This window comes from Homo sapiens, chromosome X, assembly GCF_000001405.40.
Source record: "Homo sapiens chromosome X, GRCh38.p14 Primary Assembly".
NCBI lineage: Eukaryota > Metazoa > Chordata > Mammalia > Primates > Hominidae > Homo > Homo sapiens.
In genome coordinates this window covers 92,161,612-92,174,013 of record NC_000023.11, presented here as the reverse complement: position 1 = coordinate 92,174,013, position 12,402 = coordinate 92,161,612, and the positions used below count along the sequence as shown (strand labels likewise).

Genomic DNA, 12,402 nt, shown 5'->3' with positions numbered 1-12,402 from the left:
TTTTTTTTTTTTTTTTTTTTTTTTTTTTTGAGACTGGGTCTCACTCTATCACCCAGGCTGTCATGCTGTGGTGCTATCACGACTCACTGCAACCTTGACCTCCCAGGCTCAGGAGATCCTTTCAGCTCAGCCTACCGAGAAGCTAGGACTACAGGTGTGCACCACCATGCCTCACTAATTTTTGTATTTTTTTGTAGAGATGGGGGTTCTCCATGTTGCCCAGGCTGGTCTCAAACTCCTGGGCTCAAGCAATATTCCTGCCTCCCAAAATGCTAGAATTACAGGTGTGAACTACCACACCTGGACTTTCTCATTACATCCTTGAAAGATAAAATTACAAAATACATTTTGAGGTCACAGCCTATAAAATCAGACTTTCCATAGATGAAAATAATATATGCTCATTGAGTAGGAAAGTAGGGTCTCTATATTTTTTTTTCTATGTGACTGTTTCTCTGGTGTATGTTGAAGTCATCAATAATATGTGACCTGATCAATACTGACTCCTTATTTTCAAGGAGGTACCAAATGGTATGGTCTTCCTTGTCAGATTATGTCATTGTTTACATCTAACAAACTGAGAAACTACCAGAAAAAATTTAAAGCAATGATTGCCTCAAACAACAACAAAATGAATTGCCTTTTTCATTTTCTTTATTCTAAAAAACAAAACACATAGTAGGGGCTAATTCATGGTTGAGCAGGTCTTTGGAACTAAATAAAGTTTAGTGATTTAAAAATGATTACAAATCAAGTTTTCAAGGACAAGTTTACCAGCATTAAGTCCTAGACTCTTAGGACATGTCATCTAAAATCAAACTAATAGCAAAAGGCATACTCTGTATTGCTTAATGGTTTAAGACTCCTGAAAAGAAAGACTAATGCCTTTCCTGGCATTATTTAGGTAAAGCAGTTTTTCAGTGACAACCTAAAGCTAGGAAATATAATTTGATATATTTTATGTGGTCATAGAAGATTAAAACAATGGAACAATTTCTGCTTGCCACATTGTATAGATAATTTATTTGGACATTTTATGAAAAAACACCTTAGAAAAAGAGGTGATGACCATAAAACAGTTTTGAATTTACCTTAAGTACTTTAGGAATTACCTTAAGTACTACACCTTAAGTACTATAGGAATAATTATACAGTGTCCAGTGACTGTGATACTTCCATGCATGTAAAAATAAGACTCATTCATTGTAAACATACAAAGAAACCTATATTTCTTTAAGAATAATCTCAGGCTTCTTCAAGTAATTTGGTTTCCTTGGAGCCTATCTAGGACCCCATATAAATGTTCTTCTTTAACCAATGGAAACTATATGCTGTTATGTGCTGAATTAAGCATTTTGCTCATAAGGTTTCTTTGTTTTGTTTTGCTTCCTTTCCACTGAATCTTGAGCAATGGGGCAGTTTTACTAATAATCTAATGTCAAAAAAAAATTTGTTAACTAGCTGGGCATGGTGGCACACACCTATAGTCCCAGTTACTCGGTAGGCTGAGGCAGGAGGATTCCTTGAGCCCAGGAGTTCAAGACTGCAGTGAACTATGATTTTGCCACTGCACTCCAGCCTGGGCAACAGAGACCCTGTCTCAAAAGAAAAGAACAAAAACAAACAAACAGACAATCAAAAACAAAAAATAAAACAACAACAAAAAACTTTGGTGATAAAATCAATAAACAAACAAGGAATATACAGAAAATTCCTCAACCTGATAAAGGACATCTATGAAATAACTGCAGCTAACTCAAACTTAATGGTGAAAGAATAATGCTTCCTTGCTAAGATCAGGAACAAGAAGAGGATATATGCTTTTACACAGCAATTAAACATTGCACTGGAGGTTCTAGCTAGGACAATCAAGCAAGAAAAAGAAATGAACAGCATCCATATTGCAAAGGAAGAAGTAAGACTATCTCTATTTGAAGACGACAGGATCTTATATATAGAAAATCCTAACTGAATGTCTATGCAGTAGCAATGAATAATCCAAAAATAAAATTTAAGAATACAATTCTACTTACAATAGCATATAAAAGGATAAATATTTACTTAGGAATGAATGTAATAAAAGAAGGGCAAAGCTTGTACACTGGAAATTCAAAATAGTGTTGAAATAAAGAAGTTCTAAATAAATGAAAAGGTGTACCATGTTCATAGATCAGAATACTTAATATTGTCAAGATGGCAACATTATTCAAACTTACGTACAGATTGAGCATAATCCCTACACAAATTCAAACTGGGCCGGGCACGGTGACTCATGCCTGTAATCTCAGCACTTTGGGAAACTGAGGCAGGCAGCTCACCTGAGGTCAGGAGTTCGAGACCAGCTTGGCCAACATGGTGAAACCCCATCTCTACTAAAATACAAAAAATTAGCCAGGCATGGCGGCACATGCCTGTAATCCCAGCTACCCAGGAGGTTGAGGCAGGAGAATAGCTTGAACCCAGGAAGCACAGGTTACAGTGAGCTGAGATCACACTACTGCACGCCAGCCTGAGCAACTAAGACTCAATCTCAAAAAAAAGAAAAAAAATCATTTTTTGCAGAAATTGATACGCTTAAGCTGATCCTAAAATTCATATGGAAATATAAGGAACCCAGAATAGCCAAAAAAGTCTTGAAAAATAAAAACAAATTCTATCAAAACCTCTGGGGTAGAAACAAGGTATCAGTATTTTTTAAAATTTTGGAAAAACAACATGCACAACCAATGTCGGGAAACACACTTTTAGGGCAGATAACTGTGCTGGACACTTGATTCATAACTAGCTCTGAATCTCAGTTTCCTTGTTTGTAAAATGAGTATACTTCCTGTCCTCAGTGCTATAAATGAGTATCTGTATAAGAAAGGGCTTCTAGAACACAAAGAATAACCCCTAAAAATCAAGTTTTTAGGCCGACACAGCGGCTTGCACTGATAATCTCACTGCTTTGGGAGGCAGGAGGATTGCTCGAGGCCAAAAGTTTTGAGAGCAGCCTGGGCAACATAGTGAGACTTCTGTCTCTACAAAAGAAGTAAAACTTAAAAATTAGCTAGGCTTGGCCGGGCGCAGTGGATCACGCCTGTAATCCCAGCTACTCGGGAGGCTGAGGCAGGAAAATTGCTTGAACTCGGGAGGGAGAGGTTGCAATGAGCCGAGATTGCACCATTGCACTCCAGCCTGGGGGACAAGAGTGAGACTTCATCTCAAAAAAAAAAACAAAAAACAAAAAAACAAAACAAGAAAAGCAAATTAGCTAGGCTCGTTGGCACACACTTGTAGTCCTAGCTGCTCAGAAGGCTGAAGCAGGAGGATTGTTCCAGCCCAGGAGTTTAAGGTTGCAGTTAGCTGTGATTGCACCACTGCACTCCAACCTGGATGACAGAGCAAGATGCTGTCTCTAAAATTAAAAAGATTTTAAAAAAATAGAAATTAAGTTTTTGAGTGATCTTGGTATATGGTGTCCATGGTAAAATTCTTCATCTTTCCTGTATGTTTGAAAATTTTCTTTTCTCCATACCTGGAACAAGGTTTGTGAACTGATTCTACCCCAGGAACTACTACTATATTTTCTCATTCTTTTCCAATTTTTTTTTGAGCTCTCTTTCAGTAATCTTAAGCTTTCTGTTCTTCAACAACAGAGCTAAACTTCTGTAGATGCATAATTCATATACATATATTTGAAATATATAATACTGTTTGGCCAGACAAGCATAGATGAATCCTAAAACATTCATAAAATTAATATTTTCCCTTAAATTTATCTTTAGTACTATTAAGTGAGAGAAGATAGTGAAATAGTTTATTCATCCTTGTCCTGAGTTCCTTGGGATTCTCAGATTAAAAATACAACTTTCAGTTCAAATTTGAGGGGGTTTGTAGGCTTATGGTAATGAAAAATAGAGAGAAGTATTTTTATTTTATTTCTATCTCCATATTTTTATACAAAATATATCTTATCCTAAATAATGTGATATTAGTAGCAGAATAACTAGACTGAAAGCTACTTTGTATGCATTTTTCCAGACTAAGTTAATTGCTACTGCCTCTGGATTTCCATGGCCCTCTGTTCATACCCTGATGCTATAAAAAGTGGCTATTACAGTTAATATTAACCTATATGTAGGTAAGTTTGTACACCGCACAAGACTGTGAGGTCCTTGGAGGTAGGAACTGTGTCTTATTAGTCATTGTATCATCAGTACATACATTTTTTCTGAGTATTTGTTATGCACAAATATAGTCCTAAGTGGTAGTAATTTGATGTCATTACTGTTTAGCACAGTTCCTGGCTTATAATAAGCACCCAATAAATGTTTCTGGAACTTAAACAGAATATAATATATTCTACTGCCTCAATAAGACAAAATAGAGGAAAGTGGTTAGACTAAGAAACCATTCAGTCATTTATTCATCAAATTGGCTAGGCTAATTCCAGAGAATAAATAATAGAGTCTCTTTCTAGAGTTATTGGTACTGGAATTATATAGGAGGGGTGAGGACCCATGTAATAATGGTTATCATTTGAATTAAAACTTAAATCCAAGAGGAGCACTAGCTCTTTTCCTATAAAACTGAAACTCTCCTGTGTTTCAGTCTCCATCTGTTGGGAGCAGGATTGTGGATGAAAACATTCAGAAGAGTAAGAATGCCCCTAAAATTCAGTCTTAGCTCAAATATGATTTTGTTGTATAAATTTGGAGATAAAGCATTTTTTTGTAAGCTCTGAAAAAAAATGGGGACTATATTATTTTACTCACTGGAGACTGATAAAGCTCAGTTGAGGTCTATACTTCTCACAATGCTCCAAGTCACTGAACAAAATTTAGGTCTACATTGAAAATGAATTTTAAAAACCTCGGGTTTTGTCCCTATAAACACTTTCTTTCCACAAAATGGTGGCATTTAGGAAGTCTTCCCCACTCATTCATCTTGAGAAAGTATTTGTATATATAATCTCTTCAATCCAAAGAAAAGAATTAAGGACATGATTTTCTGGATTTTCATTAGTAAAACTGGTATGCCATGTGATTTAAATAGTTGTTTTAGAAAACACACATATACATAATTCAGGGAAGGTGCTATTAACAAACATTGAATATTTGAGGGAAAATTGTCATACCAATGAAGCTAGCTCCAAAGCAGACCTTATAATGGCCAGAAAGTATACTAACTTGATGAAACTGGGATTTTGCTTCTAGTTCAGCTATGCCCAAGTGTGTGAACTTAGGAAGTCACTTCATCTCTTTGAGCCTAGTTTTTCTCAATTTTAAAATGAGATTTTGGGATAGATGATATCTAAAATAACTTTCAATGGTACAACTCAATGATTCTATAGTAAACAATGGAAAACTGATTCTTCATCCTTTTAATCACAAAGAAAAGACACACATGTTTATTTATTAATTTTCTGCCAAGATTTTGGCATTTATATAGTTGGGGGTTTTTCGTGTTTTGTTTGTTTGTTTTGGGTTTTTTTTTTTGAGGCAGAGTTTCACTCTGTCACTCAGGTTAGAGTGTAGCCTTGACTTCCCGGGCTTCATTAATTCTTCCACCTCAGCCTCCTGAGTAGCTGAGACTACTGGCAAGCACCACCACACCTTGCTAATTTTTTATTTTTTGTAGAGCTGAGGTCTCACTATGTTGCCCAAGCTGGTCTCGAATTCCTGGGCTCAAGTAATCTTCCCTCTTTGGCCTTCCAAAGTGGTGGGTTTACAGGTGTGAGCCATCACCCCCACCAGTATTTATATAGTTTAAAGGACTATTGTCAGCTGGGTGTGGTGGCTCATGTTTGTAATCCCACCACTTTGGGAGGCTGACGTGGGTGGATTGCTTGAGCTCAGGAGTTCAAGACTAGCTTGGGCAATATGGAGAAACCCTGTCTCTACGAAAAATACAAAAACTAGCCAGATGTGGTGGCACATGCCTGTAGTCTCAGCTACTTGGGAGGCTGAAGTCAGAGGATCACTTGAGCCTAGTAGGCGGAGGTTACAGTAAGCCGACACTACGCCACCGCACTCCAGAAAAAGGATTCTTGTGCACTCTAAATTTGTTGGCAAAGTAAAACAGTTAACCTTTATACCACAGGCTGAACTACTTCTCATATCAGCAAGGCTATCTTGTTTTCTTTCTTAATAACAATCATCCCAATCAGGACTCATAGGATGTGTACTTACACATTTTCTATTATACAATGAATAATTTCCTCTAAAAATACATTTATAATGTTGATCAATCATAGTGACATCATATTTTCCAAATTTTGCCGATTCCCTCAGTTTTAGAAAAAGAAGAAAATTCATGGCCAGCAATTGTGGTAAAAAGCTACAAAATAACAAAATAGACAGCAAGATCTTTCCAGTAGTTTAACTAGATGGCCAAAGTAATCTACCATTGAAAAGTAAAGAAATATCACTAACTATATTCTATAACTTTGTTCTGTACTCACTCTAAAACAACACGGAAAATTACTAGTTAGAGAGACAAATAACATAGATAAGAGGCAAAATCTGGCACATAAATTTTGATTTTGACTCTTTCAAGAGCCACACAATTCCCTGAAATTAAATATCATTAAGATACTTGCCTATAGAAGAGACACACAAAAAATTACTAAAATAAATCTTATTATGTGGCATTTTCAATTGAAACAAGAGTAAATATTTTTGCTAATAATTCTATGGTTTGATAGCCCCTAGTTTGCCTATTTTTTTTGCACTAGACTCAAACTGTTCATCTGCAGTGTCTTTCAATGTCTATTTTTAAAGTTCTTAAGAGAAGATTCCCTGTCAGCAATATAACTTCCAGTTTTATAGCTTTTAGATAATCTTTTAAAAATATACTTTAAAGATTAATATAGTACTTCATATTCAGTGAGGAAAAGGAAGCAAAAATTAGCAAGTAAAATTATAGAATATAATTGAGGATAGTACATTTTAGCAAAAAGAAATGCAGGTGCAGGTTTAAATTACAGGAAAGTATTAATTTTAATGTTCATAATAAGGAGAGTTGCCAACGTGATAAAGGATGGAATCATCAGTTTACAGCTATTGGTGACATTTCCTATTGTCATTCAGCCAACTAATTGCCTTTTTGCCTAGATGAATTTATTTTTCTTTTTTAAGTGATGGGGACTCTGTCCACCAGGCTGGAGTGGAGTGGCATTGTGATAGCTCACTGCAGCCTCAAAATATTGGGCTCAAATGATTCTCCTGCCTCAGCCTCCTGGGTAGCCAGGTCTACAAGCACATGCCACTATGCCCAGCTAATTTTTAAAATTTTTGTAGAAACAATGTCTTCCTCGGTTGACTGGGCTGGTCTCCAACTACTGGGCTCAAGCGATTCTCCTGCCTTGGCCTCCTAAACTTTTGAGATGACAGGTGTGAGCCATCACATCTGGCCCAGATGAATTCCTTATAACAGACATGTTACAGGAAATTCTGTGTTTGCTAAAATATGTTATATTTTAAAACTTCTGCTTACATAATCTGTCTTGATATATGGATATTGCTTAGATGATATAAATGGCAATTATTAGCAAGCACTCCATGTGAAATATGACAGAAAGTATAGGATTGTGAAGTCTCTGGAAAACTAACATTTTAAATAAAGCGTGAATAATATTAGGAACTATTTTCTGACATCCAAAGTCATAGTTATTACTATATTTACTCAAAAATATTACACATCAGAAATAAACTGTAAGTAGAATACTATTTTATAAAAATAAGATTATAGTAGATTGATAAAAAATTATATCAACAAACAGATGTAAAGAGTATATTTTCTGAACACTTAATATCATATGAATAGATACTAATGAGAAATATTTTTCTCTTTTAATGTATTGAAAATATATTTCATTATTGTGTGAAAAAATAAAAAACAGTGGTCAGCTATATTTAAATATTAATATTACTGTACACTATATTTCACTATATGTATACTATTGAAGACTGATTTTTCCTAAGTTTACACAATAGAAGTAATGTCATTCACAATCCCTATCAATATGCTCACTAAAAATACCCTTCGGCTAGAGTTAACCTGTGGAAACTTTATGTAATGCAAATGATATCCTTGTCAGTTTCACTTTTTTAGCCAAATTCCCTTTGCAAATCCTGTGTATCTAGTAATAGTCCCATAATGCTTTCAGGAATTTCATGAAATCTATCCCCTCCTATGGCAGATTCATTTATCACAGGAAGTACTAGAAATGCAAAAGTGCAAACAATGATTTTTCATTAGCTGGAGAGTCATCCTTAAGCATTTAAATATAATACAGACACATTATGAAAGCAATTACAGTGCACATAGCTACTGAAATCTGAACATGGACCAGTTTTAAATTGCTTTAAAATCAATAACATATATCACTGGTCATAATTATCAAACATCAGAAGTAATGTAGGGTTGTATATAATTATGGTTACAGTCATGGGATTTTACAACAAAGCCAACGACCTCTGGAATTGAATCTTTTTCACTTGCACTGCCTAATTCTGTTTAAATGGGGACTTATGTATGTAATAGAGCAAAGAAAAAAAGATAGGTTTTGTGATTACAAATACCCTGTACAGACAATAAAATCCCATAGGCAAGATGGCTTTGGTAATACATTAAGAGTTTTGCAGAGACTGCTTTGAGTGAGTCCATGTTCTTTGTCAATAAAATGGAAAACTGGATTGTGATCTCAACTTTCACTTTTCAAAATATACAAGGAGACTGCTGATTATCAGAGCATCTTTAAATTATAAAGCTTTAGCATTGAGGCTGCAATAAGACTCTCTTGGTGTTCAATATATGCCAAGAATGATCTTTTTAAACTCTATTTATGATACCTTAAAATTATTGATTTATTTGTATCCAATCAATGAGTCAATTACTCTTAATCCTATAATACCATCATGAAAATAATTTGTCAAGCAGCATACTGTATGTATTAGTCTGTTTTCACACTGCTGATAAAGACATAGCTGAGACTGGGCAATTTACAAAAGAAAGAGGTGTACTGCACTTACAGTTCCACATGGCTGGGGAGGCCTCATAATCATGGCAGAAGGTAAAAAGTAAGGAGGAGCAAGTCATATCTTACATGGATGGCGGCAGGCAAAAACAGAGCTTGTGCAGGGAAACTCCCATTTTAAAACCATCAGGTCTCTTGAGACTCATTCACTATCACAAGAACAGTGCAGGAAAGACCTGCCCCCATAAGTCAATCACCTCCCACCGTGTTCCTCCCATGACATGTGGGAATTCTAAGACTTACAATTCAAGATGAGATTTGGGTATGGACACAGCCAAACCATATCATGATAATATATATAGAATTCTTGCATCAGAATTACAAAAAAAAAATGACATTTAAAAAATGACACTCTTTAACTCCAGGATTCTTTGCAGTTACATGTGTTAGTATTTATTTTAAGCAATAGCCTTTGTTTTTAATTTTATTCACGTTTTCACTGCTTGTCTATGTATGTGCACACTTTACTTCAAACCTTGCCTTCAAGAACATTCATGAATACATGTTATTCCTGCCATACCTCAGATCATTTCTAGTGAAACAATATACAACAAAATAGAATTACTTCTCATTAGAAGACAATCCAAGAAGAAATACTTATCTTAGGGCTTTCACAACATTGATTGTTTTTTAGATGGTGGCATATTCCTCCTTAACGGTTTTCTACTTCACCCTCTTTATATCAGCAAACCTGTACTTGTCCAACATCTGACTCAACAATAAAGTCATCCTGTTTAGTAAAACAAAATAAATAGCAACAAAAAATAACAAAAGAGAATCAGCTCATTATTGGTATATTTCAGTAAGAAGAAGCCCGTGTCATAAATGTTACTTCCAACTTTGAGCAAGATGGAGATATCATTGCAGCTTACTTGGAAACCAGATGATAATTCTAATTAAAAAGTATTTTCTCTATAAATGTCAGTTAAATTTGAAAAACAATAATTCTTGATGGCAACATAATACAGTAATTAAAATTTAATCTATGCATCAAGATGAGTCATTTATGTTTGCAAAGTACAGTCTCTTTAGATTATTTCATTTTTTTAACTGTAAAATGACTAAAACTTTGCGTTATTTTGAAGTTGTAAAATATGAAAACTAGTCCCTGGTGCAGAGAGAGAAGATGGTGGATAGGAGGCAGGACTAGCTTGCAGTTCCAGCTCAGACAGACAGAGCAGTGTGTGGAGACCTGCATCGTGAACCTTTGCTCCGGAACTCCTACAGAAATATACCAAGAAAGCCAAGAGAATCCACAGACCCTCTGAAGGAAGTGGATTGCTCCTGCAGGAGCCGGGAGACAGCCCAAATACTGAGAGTACCCAAGCTGTGACAGTGGGAAAGGGGGACTGTCTGCCCCCAAACACACGCCCTCACTGGGGAACCTGAGGGTCTAAATCACGGGAGAGGCATTTGACCTCATCTAGAGCTGAGTCAATTTAGATAGCCAAGTGAAATACAGGGGTAGAGGAAGCAGTGGAAAAAGCCCTGTGGGCTCTCTGGGTCCCCAGGGTAGCTATTTCTGACTTGTCTCACAGGGGTCCTTGGGGAGGGCTGCCAGAGGAACTGGGAAAAGACCACAGGGAGAAGGAAACCTCCAGCTGAACTTTGTAACAATTCCAACCAAATGCGAAGTCTCCTGGCCAGAACTCAGGGTAGGGCGTGAATCTGGTATGCAGAATCGACAGGTGGGGAGGCGCAAAAGCCATGCTTGCTTTCTCTGTGGGGAGGCTGGTAGCCTGGGGCAAGCTCTCAGCCCTGCGTCCCCACTGCCTGGAAACAAACTCAGCACTGTTTTGGCGGGGGGCACGGTGGGAGTGAGACAGGCCTTTTGGGTTGCATGAGAGCTAGGTGAGGTCTGTAACTGCCGGCTTTCCCCTACTTCCCTGACAAACTGCATGACACAGCAGAGACTGCCATAATCCTCCTGGGAACATAACTCCATTGACCTGGAAACCACACCCCCATCCACCACAGCAGCCACAGCATGCCCTGCCCAAAGAGAATCTGAGCTCAGACACACCTAACCCTGCCCCCACCTGATGGTCCTTCCCTACCCACCTTGGTAGCTGAAGACAAAGGGGATATCCTCTTGGGAGTTCTAGGGCCCTGTGCACCACCTGTTCCTCCCTATACTACCACAGCTGATGCTCTCTTGAAAGCACCACCTCCTGGCAGGTGGCCAACCAGCACAAAAATAGTGCATTAAACAATCAAAACTAAGGACCCTCACAGAGTCCATTTCATTCCCCTGCCACCTCCACCAGAGCAGGTGATGGTATCCACAGCTGAGGATACCGAAGACACTTCACATCACAGGACTTTGTGCAGACAATCCCCAGTACCAACCCAAAGCCTGTTAGCCCTTCTGCATGGCTAGATCCAGAAGATAAGTAACAATTATTAGAGTTCCGCTCTCAGGAAGCCACATCCTTAGGAAAAGGGGAAGAGTACTACATCAAGGGAACACCCCATGGGACAAAAGAATCTAAACAGCAATGTCCAGGAGCGGTGGCTCACACCTGTAATCCCAGCAGTTTGAGAGGCCGAGGGAGGCAGATCATCTGAGGTCAGGAGTTCAAGACCAGCCTAGCCAATATGGTGAAACCTCATCTCTACTAAAAATACAAAAATTAGCCAGACATGGTGGTGCACACCTGTAATCCCAGCTACTCAGGAAGCTGAGACAGGAGAATCGCTTGAACCCAGGAGGCAGAGGTTGCAGTAAGCCGAGATCGCACCACTGCACTCCAGCATGGGTGACAAAGTAGGACTCCATTTCAAAAAAAAAAAAAAAAAATCTAAACAGCAACCTTGAGCCCCAGATCTTCCCTCCGATATAACCCACCCAAATGAGAAGGAACCAGAAAAATAATTCTCATAATATGACAAAACAAGGTTTTTTAACACTCCCCCAAAAATCACACTTGCTCACCAGCAATAAATACAAACCAAGAATAAATCTCTGATATACCTGAAAAAGAATTCAGAAAGTTGATTACTAAGCTAATCAAGGAGGCACCAGAGAAAGGTGAAGTCCAACTTAATGAAGTCAAATAAATGATACAAGATATCAGGGGACAAACCTTCAGTGAAATAGATAGCATAAATAAAAAACAATGACAACTTTAGGAAATAAAGGGCACATTCAGAGAAATGCAAAATGTACTGGAAAGTCTCAGCAATAGAATCAGACAAGCAGAAGAAAGAACTTCAGAGCTCAAAGACAAGGTTTTCTAATTAACTCAATCCAACAAAGACAAAGAGAAAAGAATTTTAAAAAACGAACAAAGCCTCCAAGAAGTTTAGGATTATGATAAATGACCAAACCTAAGAATAATTGGCATTCCTGAGGAAGAAGAGAAATCTAAAAGTCTGGA

The 12,402-nt window shown here is 37.3% G+C and overlaps 1 protein-coding gene across 14 annotated transcripts in view, besides 1 other annotated feature; it reads right to left on the bottom strand.

The window, feature by feature from the left end:
• The window catches only part of PCDH11X (protocadherin 11 X-linked), an 843,856-nt gene that overhangs the window by 449,217 nt on the left and 382,237 nt on the right, over window positions 1-12,402 (bottom strand). The gene's annotated exons all lie outside the window — the stretch shown is intronic.
• Window positions 10,573-11,250: an enhancer, noted in NCBI's record as "H3K27ac hESC enhancer chrX:91417763-91418440 (GRCh37/hg19 assembly coordinates)". NCBI's record gives its function as "activates a minimal SCP1, AML or CMV promoter by ChIP-STARR-seq in primed H9 embryonic stem cells {active_cell/tissue: H9 hESC(primed)}" and the evidence as "EXISTENCE:reporter gene assay evidence [ECO:0000049][PMID:30033119]".